The sequence below is a fragment of the Homo sapiens genome, chromosome 2 (assembly GCF_000001405.40).
Source record: "Homo sapiens chromosome 2, GRCh38.p14 Primary Assembly".
NCBI classification, from domain to species: Eukaryota; Metazoa; Chordata; class Mammalia; order Primates; family Hominidae; genus Homo; species Homo sapiens.
Window position 1 is genome coordinate 238,362,617 of NC_000002.12, and position 19,698 is coordinate 238,382,314.

Genomic DNA, 19,698 nt, shown 5'->3' on the forward strand with positions numbered 1-19,698 from the left:
GACAGCACTTCCACTTATATTATGTTGGCTAGAACTTAGTCACAAAGGAGACCATGAAGTGAAATCTCTATTTTAGGCATCCATTTGCATAGCCAGAAATCAGGAATTCCATTATCACAAACTAGAACGTGTCAAATTTTCTCAGTGCCTGCCATGCTCAGAAAATGGTAGTGCTTGCAAGGCACATGGGTAAGTGGAAGAGGCTGCCTCCCTGGCTAGAGGCCGAGGGTTCCTGGACCCAGCACACGTCTCACATGTGGGCCGCACACAGTGGCGGGAAGCTTTGCCAAAGCGGAGATCAGAAACAGGGTCGACCAGCTGTCTCTTCCACAATGTTTCTCTAGGAAATTGTTTATTTCATTCATGTCTTACAGTCATGGCATAAAGATGTTTGAAGTAGCCTTTATGATTTTAAAATATCTTATCTATACTTAGTTTTTCTTTTCTTCCCAAAATTTTGTGTCTTTTTATTTCTTGGTGAGACTTTGAAAAAACTATTAAAATAAACACTCTCTAGCAAAGAATCAACTTTCAGTTTTATAGATACTCACTTTTGTTTTATTTGATTAATTTCTACTCTGTTATTCCTTTTAATTTCTTTGGGCATTGACTTTTCCTAGTCTCTTGAATAAAGCACACAGCTCCTTTATTTTGAGTCGTTGTCGTTTTAAACCTACATATATTTCCGATTGCACAGCTCCTTTTAAGCATGGTTTATCCTTGACTTCTAAATTCCTTGAATATTGAAAATTGATATTGAATATTAAAAATTCCTTGAATTTTAATATGAAGTACTTTGTTACAATTTTAACATATGGGCAGTTGGGATTCTTTTTTTAGTTTTTTACACATAAAGATTTTTAAAAGTCTTTTTAATGATAATATCTAATGTAATGAAATTGATTATTTGGAATTGATGAGACTTTTAATGTGGCCTATTTGGTGGTCAGTTTTGTGTTTCAAAGTACTTGCAAAGCTGCTTACTTCTAGACATACTTCAGGTCCAGGCTTCCACATACCGTTGTTGATTTCACAGAGAGGCAAATGTAAGACTATATCCTCAGGCCAGGTGCGGTGGCTCACACCTGTAATCCCAGCACTTTGGGAGGCCAAGGTGGGCGGATCACGAGGTCAGGAGTTCAAGACTAGCCTGGCCAACACAGTAAAACCCCGTCTCTACTAAAAATACAGAAATTAGCCGGACATGGTGGTGTGTGCCTGTAGTTTCAGCTACTCAGGAGGCTGAGGCAAGATAATTGCTTGAACCCAGGAGGTGGAAGTTGCAGCGAGCCGAGACTGCACCACTGCATTCCAGCCTGGGCAACAGAGCGAGACTCTGTCTCAAAAAAAATATATAAATAAAAATAAAAATGTATCCTCAAAGCATGTATGCTGAATCTATCACCATTATCGATTTATACATGTTATCATAATAATTGCTTATTTTCTCTCTGTCTCATTAAAAAATACAAAACAGGTGTTTTCTGTGCTTTTCACATAAATTGTGGTGTGCCCTTCCTTAGTCTTGATACTTTTTATTTTTTTGGAGGATTTTTTCAATGCTAAAGAAATGCATATTTGTAATTTGGGCCTCTCTCCAGCCTGTCTTTGAAGTTGCATTGGAAGTAAAGCCATTTCTTATTGTACTAATGGACTTGAATAATACATTATAGAATAAATATGTGAATCAGATTGCTTTAAGCGTTTTCTTCATTATCCTGACTTTTTTGCTCTCTTTTCAAGAGGAAATATAAACTTTGTTAATAGTAAGATATTAGCTCCTGCCAGCGTTTTTTTTTCTTTCTTCAGGTTTATGAAGAAGTTTTTGAAAAACCATCAAAAGAACCATTTTATTACAGTGTTTCTTAGGCTTTCTAAAGGTTTATATATGAGGATGCTTTAGGCTAATGGCCAACAGTTTTGAAGACTGTTCACTCACTTTAAAGTATTTAAATATTTCTCACTCCTAATTTTTCAGTCTCCTTTTACATGATCTTCCCTTTGTTTCTCTTTTTCATTTTATATCTAATTATTAATAAATATGATTTTTAGATGCTTTTTCTTTTCATTTAAATTTTTTATTTTGAAATAGCTATTGGAGTACTTCTTTTTGTAGATTTCCTTCTTTCTTCATTTTAAGGTTTTGTGACTGCTCTCTTCTCTACTTTCTTGATCTTATAAACCGTGCCTTGTTCTGGGACTGCTAGACGTCACGCCCATATCTTGTCCTGGTGAGAACAGGTGGGCATGTATTGAATTTGACCTGCATATATGTTTTTTGTTGCCATTCTGAAAGAAAGTTGTAATAAGCAAGCAAATATTGCTAGAATGACTAGCATGGATGACTGTCTTAAAGAGGCATTTATTTGGGAATGTAAGAACTTCTTGTATCTTGAAATGCCTCTTGATGGATACAATGACCTTATCGTGAACAAGTTATGTTTTAATTAAAGTCAGTGGCATATAACAAATAGTATTTAGCTAAATTGTTGATGAAAGTCAGGGATTTGAGTCTTAAATTATTTCACTTTGGTGATAGGAATAGATCCTCAAATTTCTTTTTTTGGTAGGTAGATGGTGCAGTTTCATCACAAATACTATAACTCTTTCAGAAAAATGCTATTCAGAATCTCTCCTTACCTGAAAATTCTACACCTGACAACAGTATTTTTAGTTTGGGTATTTTTGGTCCTAGTATTATTGGATTTTTCCTTTGCTAGGAATATTGTTTCCATTGAAATTGTTGTTAAAGAAATAAAAATGGGCCAGGCGCGGTGGCCAACGTTTGTAATCCTAGCACTTGGGAGGCCAAGTCAAGCAGATCACTTGAGCTTAGGAGTTAGATACCAGCCTGGGCAACATAGCGAGACACCATCTCTACAAAAATTAAAAACAATCAGACATGGTGGTGCATACCTGTGTTTCCAGCCACTCGGGAGGCTGAGGCAGAAGGATGGCTTGAGCCCACAAGTTTGAGGCCGCAGTGAGCCAAGCTCGCGCCACTGCACTCCAGACTGGGTGATAGTGTGAGACCTGTCTCAAAAAAATAAAATAAAAATAAAAATAAATAAATAAATAAAAATAAAAAGAGACATACTCTGTTGGTAAGACTTTAATAGTTAAATTGGGAACTACTGAAATTGATTCTAATCATGAAGGGTTATATGGTGGGGTTTTTTGTTTGTTTCTTAGAGGTTTTGTTTTTGTTTTTAAAGAAATAAGGTGATAGTTTTATGTTCCCAAGTAAAATCTCTGAATGCAGTATCTTACAATATGCAGGCTGGAGATTTTAAGTTTTGGATATAAAATTTGTTACCACCCCATTATCTTATAAAAAATCAGACACCGGCTGGGCGCAGTGGCTCACGCCTGTAATCCTAGCACTTTGGGAGGCCGAGGCGGGCAGATCACAAGGTCAGGAGATCGAGACCATCCTGGCTAATATGGTGAAATCCCATCTCTACCAGAAATACAAAGGGGTGGCAGGCGCCTGTAGTCCCAGCTACTCGGGAGGCTGAGGCAGGAGAATGGCGTGAACCTGGGAGGCGGAGCTTGCAGTGAGCAGAGATCGCGCGCGCCACTGCACTCCAGCCTGGGCGACAAAGCAAGACTCCATCTCAAAAAAAGAAAAATCAGGCACCAGCTATATCATTTAAAATATTTATAAACATATGCCATGGGTGTATTATAGACCACAAAAATGATTTGGAAGCCATTAAAATATTACATGTATATGAACTTTATAAAGATAATTAGGAGGAGATAGGCCTTTTCTCTATAGACAAATAAAGTTCATGATAAGGATAAAATATGAGTTCTTTACCTGAAAAAAAAATAGATACACATATAAATGACTTAAGAAAACTGTATTATAAAAATGTGTTTAGCTGTATTGTCACAAACATTTCCAAATTGATATGCCCATTATCTTCTGGTTCATGATTACTCAGTGAATGATAATATAATCAATAAAGATTTTATTTTTACTGAAAATGTCACTGAAATTCATATTATGTCCTCGGTTTTTTAGATTTTAGTCAGTTGTGGCCTGATAGGTTATTTCTGGTCTTAATTTCACCAGTACCCTTTTCTGTGCTTTGCATAAAAAAAAATCTTTATTTTTGATTGGTTTTGACAGCCTGCCTTGGATGTCAATTCAGTTTCTAAGTAGTGTAGACCCTGGTGTTTAAATATACTCACTGTGACACATTAATGGATATATGAGGGAATGATGTTGTGTTAGCCCCAGGATGAAAATTAGTGGAGGCTGGGTGTGGTGGCTCACACCTGTAATCCCAGCCCTTTGGGAGGCCGAGGCGGGCAGATCACGAAGTCGGGAGATTGAGACCATCCTGGCTAACAAGGTGAAACCCCATCTCTACTAAATATACACAAAAATTAGCCGGGCGTGGTGGCACGTGCCTGTAATCCCAGCTACTCAGGAGGCTGAGGCAGGAGAATCGCTTGAACCTGGGAGGCAGAAGTTGCAGTGAGCCGAGATCGCACCACTGCACTCCAGCCTGGGTGACAAAGCAAGACTCTGTCTCAAAAAAAAAAAAAAAAAAAAAAAAAAGAAAATTAGTGGATAAGGATTAGAATTAAATAGAATTTAGTCACATTGACTACTAAACAATGCCCCAGCTCAGTGGAGAGAAGTGTAGGAGGTATCTGGAGAGCAGTAAGTAGAGAAATCAAAGGGGATGTGGCACAAGTTTCAGAAGCCTCAGCGCCCTGCAACAGAAGACTGAAGATGTGGATCTCACTAGTTTGAAGAGGTGTGAAGACTTCAGAAGCTACCCAGTGAGACATCATGAAATTGTTAAAATCTGTTAGTCATTAGGCCTTGAAAGGAATGGTTTAGAAACGACCTAGCTGAGCGAGTGGGCTTGGGCCTTTGGTGCACGCTCAGCATGGGCTGGGGTCCCCTTAGCATGTGGTGGTGGCTGTGACAGCTCTTGCTCCTCGTGGGACTGAGCTTTCTCAGAGAGACTGTGGGACACGGGAGAGACCGCGGTGGGACCGAGAGCCTGCGCCACCGAGCCCTCTCTGTGCAGGGCTTCCCACGCATGGCCTCCTGCACCTGCACCACAACTCACTGCTGAGGAAATTGAGGCTTAGGAGAGTCTCAGTCCCTTGCCCAAGGCCTTGCACTCCAGAGCCTGGATCCAAACTCTTATCTAGCCCCAAAGTACAGGTTCTGACCACAGGAGGGAGCAGCACCGCGGCTCCAGCATGCCCCAGGCCCGGAGCCTGTGCCTCCCTGTCTCAGTGCGGGGTGGGCGCGTTGAGCTGCTTTTTTTGGAGCAACTTATTTCGAGAATTATTTTAATCCTTAAATTCCATATTTCTTCAGCTTCCCTTTGAAAAAAAAAAGGGAAATTTGTGTTTTTAAAAAGTGTTAGTTAGTATTTTTGTCCTTTCCAAAACATATTCACTTGTGCTTACTGTTGTGAGACACACATGTATTTTTCTAGTTCCCATCTATTATTCCTTGCTGTCTGTTTCTGACCTGAAAAGCAGCTTCCAGTGAAGAGCTATCACTAGAGGAACAGGACTTGGCTGAATGAATTAGGTTTTATTGAGTTTTTAATTTAATGTGGGTAAAGCAGGCTCAGGAGGGCTGAAATGGACGAAACAATGGCACAACTTTATTACTTTTCTCCAGGGTATGGATTATAGGGGATATTTTAGAGTAAAGAAACACTAAGATTCTTGGCATTAAAATGCTTCGATTTCCTATTTATAGCAGTGATGCATATATAATTTTTCATATTGGACTGTTATTAAGGTTTTTCTGATTGAAATCTCCGTACGGTTTCTTCTGGCCAGTAGACTTCCTCCATCCCCAGATGTGACCCCTTTTAAACTAATAAAGCCTCTTGATAATACTTACAATACTTGTCACAGAGGGCAGGACTGACATTCACTTAGTGAAGGGCTTGTATTATACCAGGCTTTGCTCTATGTAAGTTTTATATTTTCAGGAATATTCTTAAATCCCTTAAAGAAAAAAAATGAAAATAAAGTAGAAATACATTTATTTTAGATATTGTTATTAATAATTTTTTTTTGAGACGGAGTTTCACTCTTGTTGCCCAGGCTGGAGTGCAATGGCGTGATCTCGGCTCACTGCACCCTCTGCCTCCCAGGTTCAAGTGATTTTCCTGCCTCAGCCTTCCTAGTAGCTGAGATTACAGGCGCCTGCCACCATGTCCAGCTAATTTTTTTTTATTTTTAGTAGAGACAGAGTTTCACCATGTTGGCCAGGTTGGTCTTGAACTCCTGACCTCAGGCGATCCACCCGCCTCGGCCTCCCAAAGTGCTGGGATTACAAGCGTGAGCCACTGCGCCTGGCCATTGATAAATACTTTGTAAATAAAATACACTGTGTCTATACTCTTACATGATGCACCATGTTAGTTTTTAAAACTTGGGAGTAATTTCTGTATATTAGTATTTTGGGTTCTGACTGGGTTTCTAGGTAGCTTAACAAAGCTTTTATTGTACTACAATAAAAGTACTTTGTACAAGTAGAGTTCATTTACAGTAAAAAATGATAGAAAATAATGCTGTTATTTTAATAGTAATAACCAAGCAATTAAAGTAAATATATATTTTTAACAATTTTGAAATTAGCTTTCTAAGAAAAGCGGGTTTAGAAGCAGGCAAAGCATTCACTTGTGAAAGACACTTTTGGGAACTTCAGAGCCTTCAGAGATTAATGGTAGTGATATTAAAAGTGGAGCGCGTTCCACTGTCTTCCATGCGGGAGCTTTCTGGCTCTGCTGCTTTTTGTTGCAGAAGCATCCAGTCCAGAATGAGTTAGGTGTTTTGTAAGTTTCTTTCAGTCTCAAACAGTCTGTGCTCTTCCCTTGATTTGGCCTTGACAGTTTTGAACAGTACAGCTATTTTCCTGACTGGCCCCCGGTTTGGGTTTGTGTGGTGTTTCCTTGTGATTAGAGTCAGACTTTGCATCCTGGGCCGAAACCTTCCAGAAACGAGGCTGTGCTGCCTTTGCTGCGTCTTGCTGAGTGGTTCAAGGTTTCAGATTGTTCCTGACTGCAGACGCTCTCCGTGGCCTCTCGATGTGGATGCTGTCTGCCAGCTTCTCTGCAGTCAAGCCGCTCCTTTTCTCTTTGTAATTACTAGCATTTTGGAGGAAGTACTTTGTACAATCGAAGTACCCTGTGCTTCACTAAGTTTAATCATTTGTTTGTATCATTATGGGCTTGTGCCTTCCACTTGGACTCTGTGGGCTGTAATCTCTTACTGCCATGATTTTCATGCGCAGATGGCCTCAGATTTGGCTCTGGAGAGCTCCTTCAAGCTGGCTTTGTGTCCTTTCAGCCTGCGCCCAGCATTCTTTGAGCTGTTCCTTGCTTTCTGGCTCATCCTGTTCTTTCCCTGCTCCAGCCCCAGAATCAGCCATTTCCCCAGGAGACCTGGGTCCTTTGATTGGAGAATGGAGTGTTTGCCACTTTTGGAGGTTCAGCTCTCAGGTCATCTCAGTGAACAGAGCTAGAGGGGGAAAATGTATGTGTCTGTGTTTGTTATATATGCGTGTGTGCATGTCTGTATGTATGTGTGTATATATGTGAACGTGTATGTGTGTCTGTAAGTGTGCATGTGTATATATGTGTGTGCATGTCTATGTGAATGTCTGTGTCTGTGTGTGCATGTGTGTATGTTTATGTCTGTATTGTGCATGTCTGTGTATGCGTATGTGTGCGTGTCTGAGTGTATACATGTATACGTGTGCATGTCTGCATGCATGTGTACATGTGTATATATGCATGGCTATGTCTGTGATATATGTGTATGTGCATGTCTGTGTATGTGTGTGTACATGTGTGTGTGCAAATGTCTGTGCCCTCCCTACCTGGTCTCCCTGGCCGTGTGGGTGCCCTCTCCCTCCTGTGCTGGGCTCCTGCCTCCATTCTCCCTACCCCGGGCTCTCCCACCCCCAGCCTAGTGTACATGCTTCCCTGGCATTGCCCACTTCATGGCTTCAGGACCAAATGGCTCAGGAGGGAAGATCAGTTACTGACTTTCCCCTGGAATGGGCATCTCATAAGGTGAAGACCAGTGCCTCTCATCTCCCTCTCGTGGCTAGCATAGCAGTGGACGTTAAGTGCATGTCATCAACTGTTGAAGAGATGAATTTCATCGCCAGTTGAACAGAAGTTAGAAGAGAAAGGGGGAAGTGGAAGGGAATGAATGATAAAATGTGGGGAAGCACTTGCCAGAGGTGAAAAACGAAGCTATGTGCATTTAGGGGAATTACGGACATTTTTCATGCTGTAGCCTCTGGTGAGCCCCATGCTAACACCAGGGGGTGCTTTAAGCCCATCACGAGGCCTCTGAGTGCTAGGGAGCGGGCATAGTTCTCTTGTAATGTGGTTTTCTGCCACAATTTGGACATTTGTCGTTTGGACAGTAATATAGATTTCTGAGTAAAATGTGATAAGAACGAAGTTTACTAGCTTTCTGATCTCAGTTAATGCGACATTGAAAGTCTGTTTTTTAGAGGTGCTTTGTACTTTTCGTAAAGAGCGTGAAGCTTGACCTTCTATGAGTCTGCACTTGAAAAGGGCTTTCATGTGCCAGGTAAAAAGGAAACTCACAATATTGGCAGTATTGTTGAGATCAGGTGTTTTTTTCGGTTTGTTTTTGTTTTTTTTGGTGGGGGGAACAACCAAAAACAATCCTACAAGTATATTGTACATCAAGAAAAAATAGGTTCTTTTGAAAAGAACCAAAGTCAGATTTGCTGTAGACTTCTCTGTGGCCCTAAATGCCAGAAGAAAAAGGAACAGTTGCTTCAACATTTGGAGAGAAAGAAACTGACCCAAGATTCTTACTATTTAGCTAGATTGTCATTTCATACATAAAAACAGTGGAAGACACATCCAGATAATGCAAGAGCTCAAAAAAAGATTGTTCTTATATTCTTCCAAACCTAAGCCTAAGGAAAGCCTGAGTGTGGGCCTGGGATGACCAGCGCAGTGGCCACTCGCCCATGTGGTGGGGGTATTAGAAAACTGACGAATCCCAACTGAAATATATCCTAAGTATAAAACACACACCAGATTTCAAATATGGTGTTGGAAAAGAAGAATATAAACTATCTCATTAGAAATTATTATATTGATTACATGTTGAAATGATTTTGTATATATCACATTAAATAAAATTTATTGAAACTAATTTCATCTGTTTCTTTTTACTTTTAAAGTGAAACTAGTAGAAAATATTAAATTACGTATATGGCTTGCATATTTCTATTGGGCAGCATTGGTATAGGTGAAATGAATTAAAATTGATTATTGAAACTGATTAAGCATATAGAATTGAGTATAACTACAGAATTGAATGCAAAATCCCTAAACTAGTTCTTGAAAAAATAGTTTTGTGGAAGAATAACATAATAATAATAGATGGTAGGGTTGAGGGAGTCAAGGGAAGTAAAATCACATTAAAGTAACATTCATTTAAAAGTTTTTTTCTCCACTTTCTTTTTCATTTTTATTATACTTTAAGTTCTAGGGTACATGTGCACAATGTGCAGGTTTGTTACATAGGTATACATGTGCCATGTTGGTTTGCTGCACCCATCAACTCGTCATTTACATTAGGTGTTTCTCCTAATGCTATCCCTCCCCCAGCCCTCTGCCCCCCGACAGGCCCCGGTGTGTGATGTTCCCTGCCCTGTGTCCATGTGTTCTCATTGTTCAACTCCCACTTATGAGTGAGAACATGTGGTGTTTGGTTTTCTGTCCTTGTGATAGTTTGCTTAGAATGATGGTTTCCAGCTTCATCCATGTCCCTGCAAAGGACATGAACTCATCCCTTTTTTATAGCTGCATAGTATTCCATGGTGTATATGTGCCACATTTTCTTTACCCAGTCTATCATTGATGGACATTTGGGTTGGTTCCAAGTCTTTGCTATTGTGAGTAGTGCCATAATAAACGTACATGTCCATGTGTCTTTATAGCAGAATGATTTATAATCCTTTGGGTATATACCCAGTAATGGGATTGCTGGGTCAAATGGTAATTCTAGTTCTACATCCTTGAGGAATAACCACACTGTCTTCCACAACGGCTGAACTAATTTACATTGTCACCAACAGTGTAAAAGCATTCCTATTTCTCCACATCCTCTCCAGCATCTGTTGTTTCCTGACTTTTTAATGACTGCCATTCTAACTGGCGTGAGATGGTATCTCATGGTGGTTTTGATTTGCATTTTTCTGATGACCAGTGATGATGAGCATTTTTTCACGTGTCTGTTGGCTGCATAGATGTCTTCTTTTGAGAAGTGTCTGTTCATATCCTTTGCCCACTTTTTGATGGGGTTGTTTGTTTTTTTCTTGTAAATTTGTTTAAGTTCTTTGTAGATTCTGGATATTAGCCCTTTGTCAGATGGGTACATTGTAAAAATTTTCTCCCATTCTGTAGGTTGCCTGTTCACTCTGATGGTAGTTTCTTTTGCCATGCAGAAACTCTTTAGTTTAATTAGATCCCGTTTGTGTATTTTGGCTTTTGTTGCCATTGCTTTTGGTGTTTTAGTCATGAAGTCCTTGCCCATGCCTATGTCCTGAATGGTATTGCCTAGGTTTTCTTCTAGGGTTTTTATGGTGTTAGGTCTAACATTTAAGTCTTTAATCCATCTTGAATTAATTTTTGTATATGGTATAAGGAAGGGATCCAGTTTCAGCTTTCTACATATGGCTAGCCAGTTTTCCCAGCACCATTTATTAAATAGGGAATCCTTTCCCCATTTCTTGTTTTTGTCAGGTTTGTCAAAGATCAGATGGTTGTAGATGTGTGGTGTTATTTCTGAGGCCTCTGTTCTGTTCCATTGGTCTACATCTCTGTTGTGGTACCAGTACCATGCTGTTTTGGTTACTGTAGCCTTGTAGTATAGTTTGAAGTCAGGTAGCGTGATGCCTCCAGCTTTGTTCTTTTTGCTTAGGATCGTCTTGGCAATGCGGGCTCTTTTTTGGTTCCATATGAACTTTAGAGTAGTTTTTTCCAATTCTGTGAAGAAAGTCTTTGGTAGCTTGATGGGGATGGCATTGAATCTATAAATTACTTTGGGCAGTATGGCCATTTTCACGATATTGATTCTTCCTATCCATGAGCATGGAATATTCTTCCATTTGTTTGTGTCTTCTTTTATTTAGTTGAGCAGTGGTTTGTAGTTCTCCTTGAAGAGGTCCTTCGCATCCTTTGTAAGTTGGATTCCTAGGTATTTTATTCTCTTTGTAGCAATTGTGAATGGGAGTTCACTCATGATTTGGCTCTCTGTCTGTTAATGGTGTATAGGAATTCTTCTGATTTTTGCACATTGATTTTGTATCCTGAGACTTTGCTGAAATTGCTTAATCAGCTTAAGGATATTTTGGGCTGAGACAATGGGGTTTTCTAAATATACCATCATGTCATCTGCAAACAGGGACAATTTGACTTCCTCATTTCCTAATTGAATACCCTTTATTTCTTTCTCTTGCCTGATTGCCCTGGCCGGAACTTCCAACACTGTGTTGAATAGGAGTGGTGAGAGAGGGCATCCTTGTCTTGTGCTGGTTTTCAAAGGGAATGCTTCCAGTTTTTGCCCATTCAGTATGATATTGGCTGTGGGTTTGTCATAAATAGCTCTAATTATTTTGAGATACGTTCCATCAATACCTAGTTTATTGAGAGTTTTTAGCATGAAGGGCTGTCGAGTTTGGTCGAAGGCCTTTTCTGCATTTATTGAGATAATCGTGGTTTTTGTCGGTTCTGTTTATGTGATGGATTACGTTTATTGATTTGTGTGTGTTGAACCAGCCTTGCATCCCAGGGATGAAGCCAACTTGACCATGGTGGATAAGCTTTTTTTTGATGTGCTGCTGGATTTGGTTTGCCAGTATTTTATTGAGGATTTTCACATCAATGTTCATCACGGATATTGGTCTAAAACTCTCTTTTTTTGTTGTGTCTCTACCAGACTTTGGTATCAGGATGATGTTGGCCTCATAAAATGAGTTAGGGAGGATTCCCTCTTTTTCTGTTGATTGGAATAGTTTCAGAAGGAACGGTACCAGCTCCTCTTTGTACCTCTGGTAGAATTTGGCTCTGAATCCGTCTGGTCCTGGACTGTTTTTGGTTGGTAGGCTATTAATTATTGCCTTAATTTCAGAGCCTGTTATTGGTCTATTCATATATTCAGCTTCTTTCTGGTTTAGTCTTGGGAGGGTGTATGTGTCCAGGAATTTATCTATTTTTTCTAGATTTTCTAGTTTATTTGTGTAGAGGTGTTTATAGTATTCTCTGATGGTAGTTTGTATTTCTGTGGGATTGCTGGTGATATCTCCTTTATCATTTTTTATTGCATCTATTTGATTCTTCTCTCTTTTCTTCTTTATTAGTCTTGCTAGCGGTCTATCAGTTTTGTTGATCTTTTCAAAAAACCAGCTCCTGGATTCATTGATTTTCTGAAGGTCTTTTTGTGTCTCTATCTCCTTCAGTTCTGCCCTGGTCTTAGTTATTTCTTGCCTCCTTCTAGCTTTTGAATTTGTTTGCTCTTGCTTCTCTCATTCTTTTAATTGTGATGTTAGGGTGTTGATTTTAAATCTTTCCTGCTTTTTCTTGTGGGCATTTAGTGCTATAAATTTCCCTCTACACACTGCTTTAAATGTGTCCCAGAGATTCCGGTATGTTGTGTCTTTGTTCTCATTGGTTTCAAAGAACATCTTTATTTCTGCCTTCATTTTGTTATGTACCCAGTAGTCATTCAGGAGCAGGTTGTTCAGTTTCCATGTAGTTGTTCGGTTTTGAGTGAGTTTCTTAATCCTGAGTTCTAATTTGATTGCACTATGGTCTGAGAGACAGCTTGTCGTGATTTCTGTTCTTTTACATTTGCTGAGGAGTGTTTTACTACCAATTATGTGGTCAATTTTGGAATAAGTGCGATGTGGTGCTGAGAAGAATGTATATCTGTTGATTTGTGGTATAGAATTCTGTAGATGTCTATTAGTTCTGCTTGGTCCAGAGCTGAGTTCATCTTCACTTTCTTTATGGTGTCTTTCAATGACATTTTAAAGACATTTTTAATTTTAATCAAACTTTTCAATCTTTTCTCTTATGGTTAATGCTTTTGGCGAGTCGGTTAAGAAATCCTTCTGTATTCCAAGGTCAGAAAGATATTTACTCTTTTTAAAAAAGTAAAGCTTTGTTTTGACATGTACATGCTTAATCCACCTGGAGTTGATTTTCCTGTATTCTGTGGGACAGAAGTGTAGTTTTTTTCTCTCCTCATATGGATAACCAAGTTTTCCTCCTTTCCCCATTGATCTGCAATGCTGTCTCTGCTGAATATGAAAGTTCCATATGCGTGGAACTCTTTCTGTGTTCTCTGCCCCAGAGGTTAGCAAACTTTTTCCGTAAAAGGTCAGGTAGTAAATATTTTCAGCCATGAGAACCATGTAATCTCTGTTGCCACTACTCAACTTTGTTATTGTAGTGTAAAAGCAACCACAGGCAATATATAAATGCATGAGCGTGGCTGGTTTCCAATAGGGCTTTATTTATTTATGGACACTGAAACGTGAATTTTGTATAACTTTCATGTGCTGCAAAATATTATCCTTTAACTGGGTTTTTCAACTATTTATAAATAAAAAATCATTCTTAGCTCATGGGCTATAGAGAAATCCAGGTGGTGGGCCGGTCCACAGGCTGTAGTTTATACTGCTCCACTGGCCCGCACTGATACCACCCTGCTGTAATGACTGTAGCTTCAGAACAAGGCCTTGTGTCTGGTAGCAAAGCCCCTGCCGCCTTATGCCTCTTCTTCAGCTATGTTTTGGCAATTATTGGTCTTGTCCACTTCCATCTACATATTATAACCTGCTTATTGAGTGCCGTGAAAAACCCTCTTGGGATTTCAGTTGGAGTATTTATGAACAAAACTATCTCTCCATTTATTTAGACTTGCTTTAAAGTCTTTTAGTGAATGTTTATAATTTGATTTGTTAAGGTTGTTCGTATCTTTTGTTAGATTTATATGTGGGTATTTATAGTTTATCTGCTATTATAAATACTGTATATTTATTTAAAATTGTTTTCTAGTTGTTGATTGCTGGTAGATAGTAATGCTGTTGACTTATAACCAGCTTCATTTAAAACTGTTTGCTTTAAACGTGTCTGTTGAGTCTTTTCTGTTTTCTTCGCTGTAATAGCAGCAAACACCTAATAGGGCACGGTGTGCAGGCTCTGTTCTAAGACAGCTAATAACATAGGTCATAGTGAGACTCGGGCACTGTTGTTACCCATTTTGAAACTGGGGCATTTGGAGGTTAAGGAACGTGTCCGGGGCCGTATGAGTGGTGAGTGGCAGAGGAGTGATTCAAGCCCAGGCAATCGCACCCAGAGTCCATGCCTTTAGCCCAAGCTCCGCACCATTGTCTGTGTCATCTGAAAGTCCTGATGGCTTCATTTCCTTCTTTCCAGTCTTAGGCATTTAATTCCCTCTTACTGTTGCATTTCTGTGGCTAGGCCCTCTGCTAGAGTAGGAATAGTAATGGTGATTGTGGGTAACCTCGTTTCCTTCCTTCCTGATTTTCTTTTTTTTTTTTTTTTTTTTTTTGAGACAGGGCCTCCCTGTCACCCAGGCTGGAGTGCAGTGGTGCAATCATGGCTCACTGCAGCCTTGCTTTCCTAGGCTCAGGTGATCCTTCCTCCTCCCAAGTAGCTGGGACTGCAGGCGAGTGCCACTCTGCCTGGCTAAGTTTTTGTAGGTTCCCCCCCCACTGTGGGGCTTGGTTATTAATGCGTGTTAAATTTTACTAAATGCTTTTTCTGGGTCGATTGAGATGATTCTATTATATTCCTTAATTCACTATATGATTGTAGCTTTTCTAATATGAAACAGTCTTTACATTCCTTGGATCAAATCAATTATGGTATATTATTATTATTTTTAATCCACTGTTAAGAGTCTAGTTGCTAATTAGTATTTTTCCATTTATATTCATGAATGAAATGGACCCATAATTTTGTTTTTCTTGTATGATCCTTATTTTTTTTAGTACCAAGGTCAAGAATGAATTGAGGATATTCTTTGTTTTTATCTGTTCTGGAAGAGATTGTATATGATTGGAATGTATTTCTTGACAATTTGACAGCTTCACATGTAAAACCACCTGAGCTTGGTGTTTCTTTGTGGGAAATACTTAAACCATTGTTTTCATTTTTGTATTAATTATGAGAGTATTCAGGCTTTTTAAAATGTGTTTTCGAGTCCATTTTGACTGTCAGTTTTTTGAAAATTTTCAAGCTTATTGGAAAAAAGCTCTTGCTAGAACTCTTTAATATTTGCTCTGGATGTAGTTTAGTTTAGTTTAGTTTTTGTTTGTTTGTTTGTTTTTTGTTTGTTTGTTTTAACCAATATTACTTACTTAGGCATTTTTCTTTTTTTAAATATATTTTTCCAGAAATTTGTCTGTCTGTCTAAACCACTGGCTTTTGGCTTTGTTGTTCTCTTTTTAATCTTTGTTTTTCTTTTCATTGATATCTCCAGTTTTATTTAAATTTTCTTCCTTCTCTACTATTTTTCTTTTTAAATTTATTAAGTTGGACACCTAAGTTACTAGTTTTTATTTAGCCTTTTAAGAATCTAATGGAAACTTGTTTTATGACTATAAATTATCATGTTTTAAAAGTTAGCATTCATTCATTCACCAGCCATCTGGCACCTGCCATGTGCTAGGCACTGTTCTCGGCATTCAGTCAGAAACGAATGACAAGGTTAACAACTGTCTTTTTGGCAGCTGTTGAGATGTTCCTATATTAATAGACTTCCTAATGTTGAACAGTTCTTACACACCTCAAATAACCTTTGCCTGGCCATCATCTATTATTTACCCAATATAAAACTATATTTAATTTGCTGACATTTAAAAATAGAACTTCATCTCTATATTAAAGTGGAATTGGCCTGGAGTTTGAGAGAGAGAGAGAGAGAGTTTGTGTTTAGGTTTTAGAATCAAGGTTATGTCCATTTTATAAAATTAATTTGGGACCCTGCGTTTTTTCCTGGGCCCTAGAACAGTTTAAGTCTGATGGGTGATCTGGGTTAAGGGAACTTTGAGGCTGGGCACTTTCTTCGCAGTTTGATCTGAAGCCGGGACCCCCCCCCAGGCCCCAGGCTGCTGGGTCAGAAGCCTCTTACCATCACTTGCAAACCCAATACCATGAGGCACTCAAGTGGTTTTGCGGTCAGTCTTTGCTGACCAGTACCAGGTTGCTTCTGCTCTTGCCTTCAGGGGAGGTGGGTCAGGAGTAGAAAGGCCCCAGAGGGAGGGTCCAGTCCTTCTTTGGTGCCCTCTGTGGGACTCAGCGTTCGGTCCCCACCTCAGGCAGCCTGGCGCTGATGCTGATGCAGCCGCCCTGTGTCAGGTGCTCAGCGGAACCCCAGACTTGTTCTCCTTGTTTCCTGTCGACTCACTCTTTGGTCGTCTGTGTGTCACTGGGGGCCTGTTTTCTTGCAGTCCAAGGTTACCTGGAGGCTGCTGGTCTCTCGGGCCGGACAACCCCCACCCCATTTAAGTCCCTGCCCACGAGTCTCCTCTTCAGAGAGGCCTTTCCTGTCCACCTAGCTGTGTGGGGCCTCAGCCGCACACTCACCATCTCTGACCCGGGCTCTGCTATCCTCACAGCATTGGTCACTGACTGAGACCATGCGACTGACTGAGACCATGCAGCTGGCTGTCAGGATGCTGGTGGAGGGAAGAGTGAGGAGTGCCAGCTTCAGCAGAACTCCTTATTCTGTCTGCCTTGGCAGCCACAGACACCTGCTCGTGTGAAGGCGGCAGCGTGGTGCCATCACTTGGGTATTTGGAACTTGACCATCCTGTATGTGAATTTTCCTTTGCTCATCCAGTCCTTAGACTCACTTCTTCTATTCATAATTAATTCTGTGACACGTGTTTTCTGCCGAGGACCTCTGACCTCATGGCCACTTCCTGCTGCAGGTTTAGACGGTGGTTTCCTCCCCCGCTCACATGCCAGCCATTCAGTTCAGTGGGTCTCTTGTTGCCCAGTAACTACCTTTTATAGCTGGTATTTTTGGAGTGATTAAATATGTTAAGAATTTAGAAGGCAAAATGTGTAATAATAACACTGGAGCCAGAATGATAAGGAAATACTGTAGCAATAGGCTCAATAGAAAATGATTAATATTTTAGTAAGACATTTAAAATAGCAAATCCAATTAGTTAGTACAGAGGTGGAAATAAAAAACAAAATAATTGAATAATCACCTCACTGGCCATTTCCAGCATTGATGGAGAAAGACAATTTTAAAGTCCATTTTAAAACTTAGATTCTTTTGCTGCTGCTGCCTATGAGATGGAAAGGGATTCTAAAATGTAGAGAAAGTGAACTTTACAACCTTATGTCCTTTGAAATTTGCTTAGAGGTTCATCTGCTCAGAGACGTCTACGTATTAGAACCATTCAGAGAGTGTTTCTGAAATGCTGGTGCCCAGGCCCCTCCCCTCTCAATTAGGATCAGTCTCTGGGCAGGTGCTGGCGCTGGGTGTAAAATTGCTCCCCAGGTGACTTCGTATGCAGCTGGATCCCTACGGTGCCTTCCAGCTTCTCAGAGGGCCTCTCTGAGCCCTGCAGGAGCCACGTGGAGAAGCTGCTTACCTGGGCCCTTTGGTTCCTGTGCACAACGACTGATCCTGTTAAACCCAGAAAATATGGTGTCTTCATGCCCAGGAAGGGAAGGTCCTCTCCCCCGGGTCCCTGAGTGGTGGGGGTGTCCTCTTGGATTTGGCTAATTTGAACAGGAAGCTCTGCAGTTGAGGCAGATCTTGCAGTATCCCCCTAACCGATAGGAAACATGCACTGCTGCCCGACCCAGTGGCCCAGCCCGGCCACTCACAGCATCTTCTTCTCGAGCATGTGGATGGACTTGGAGGCTTGTTTCCAGGCTGTTGTGGAAGAAGCAGATCCTGCTCTTCCTGAGCTCAGCCTCACCCTGAGCAGCCTCAGTTACCTGTGATTCACCCCCGGCCCCAAGGTGAGATGACCCCAACAATATTTTAAAGGAAATGCCTGCATCACACCTTTTTGTCTTTGAACTCCTGAAAAATCAAAATAACAGAAACACTGTTGTAAAGTGATTAGAAGAATGCAAGAAAATGAGGTAAAAGCATGTTAGCAACCTTCATTTTCATGAAGGTGTGTGAGTCAATGTTTAAATGTGAGTGCTGTAGCCATAAAACAAAGATGGAGAGCAAGGATCCTTCCTGGGAATATCTTCCATAGAGACTTAAGTTCTTTTGAGTGCTTGAAACCAGTTTTTCCAGATCTCTATTGAGTCTGACTCATTTGTTTTGGTTTCCTGAGGATACTCTCAAAAGGCTTCATCTGTCCTATTTACAGAATAGCAACTATTTTTCTTGCCACAATGACGGGATTTGGGTAGGATGCTTGGGTTTTTTTTTTTTTAATTATTTATTTATTTATTTTTTTTTTTTTCAGAATTCTGTTTCCATGGAACTCCTGGGTCAGCTAGGGTAGCTTGAACCCAAGTTTATCTTCCCCCTCTCAGAATCCCAGTGAAATGAATGGAACATAAAAATGGGGCAAAAACCAGTGAGGGTTGCACCCGCATTCCAGAAACTTTAGAAAAGTTTCTTTGGGACTTGCAGATGGGGCTGGATTCGAGGAGGGCCTGTAGGGCCCACTGAACCCCACTGACACCCTTGGAGGGGGCCATAGGCATGGGTGGCGGGTGGGGTGCTCTTTGATTCTTGTTCCCTGCTGTGGCTCAGTGGCATTTGGAAGTGGGCCCTGAGGAACTCCCAGGTTCAGGCAGGCTTGCCACCACGCTGGAGGCCGGGAAGGTGGGGGCCAGTCCTGTGCCTGCAAGCAGCACTGTGTGGAAGGATGCTGGCCAGGGGCTCCTCCAGTCACTGAAGAGAGATGGACCAAAGTTCCCTTGTAGACACCACCCTGATGGGCCACTGCCCTGCACTTGTCCCTGATGGGATCCTCGAAAATGGGTATAAACATTCATTTGCACCACTGTTACAGGTAGTGAGCAGAGAGAGGGTTCATGAAGCACCTCACGTGAGCAGAACTGACGGGGACCTTTGAGGAAAGCTCATCGTGGGCATGGGGTGGGATACTTCTGTAAATATGTTCATCATGCTCTACGAATTTAAAAAATGCCAATGATTAAGCGAAAAGCAAAAAAATGACATGAAGACAGGCTGAGAAGGAAAGGGGCTGGCGGGTAGGAAGCCACAGATGGGGAAGAGGAGCGCGCTGAGTCAAGGAGGGACTGTTACAGAAGCACACGGATGTGATCAGAGGAACAAAGTATTTACCTGAAGCCGTAAAGAAGCAGAATCGACACAACAGAATAAGCAACCAGTGATGTTTGGGGCAAACTTGAGAAGCCTTTCCAGAATATGAAGGAGGAAACACCAAAGCCATGGGGACATGTGAGAGAGGAGATGACAGAAAGGGGACAGAGAGCCCGGGTGTGATGGTTGGCATTCATAAGGAGGATACGAAAACAGGCGAAACAGATGCCACAGTGGTTCTCCTGCATGGAAGACCTGAGTATGCAGACAGGAAGGCACTCCCTGAGTGTCAGCTAAAAAGTACCAATATGATACTGAGACACATCC

At 40.8% G+C, this 19,698-nt stretch overlaps 1 protein-coding gene across 11 annotated transcripts in view, besides 1 other annotated feature; it reads left to right on the forward strand.

The window, feature by feature from the left end:
- Positions 1-19,698, forward strand: part of TRAF3IP1 (TRAF3 interacting protein 1) — an 80,383-nt gene that overhangs the window by 42,099 nt on the left and 18,586 nt on the right. The gene's annotated exons all lie outside the window — the stretch shown is intronic.
- Positions 4,812-5,015: a silencer, noted in NCBI's record as "fragment chr2:239276069-239276272 (GRCh37/hg19 assembly coordinates)". NCBI's record gives its function as "represses an EF-1alpha promoter that drives an FKBP-Casp9 reporter gene in an ReSE screen in HepG2 liver carcinoma cells {active_cell/tissue: HepG2}" and the evidence as "EXISTENCE:reporter gene assay evidence [ECO:0000049][PMID:32094911]".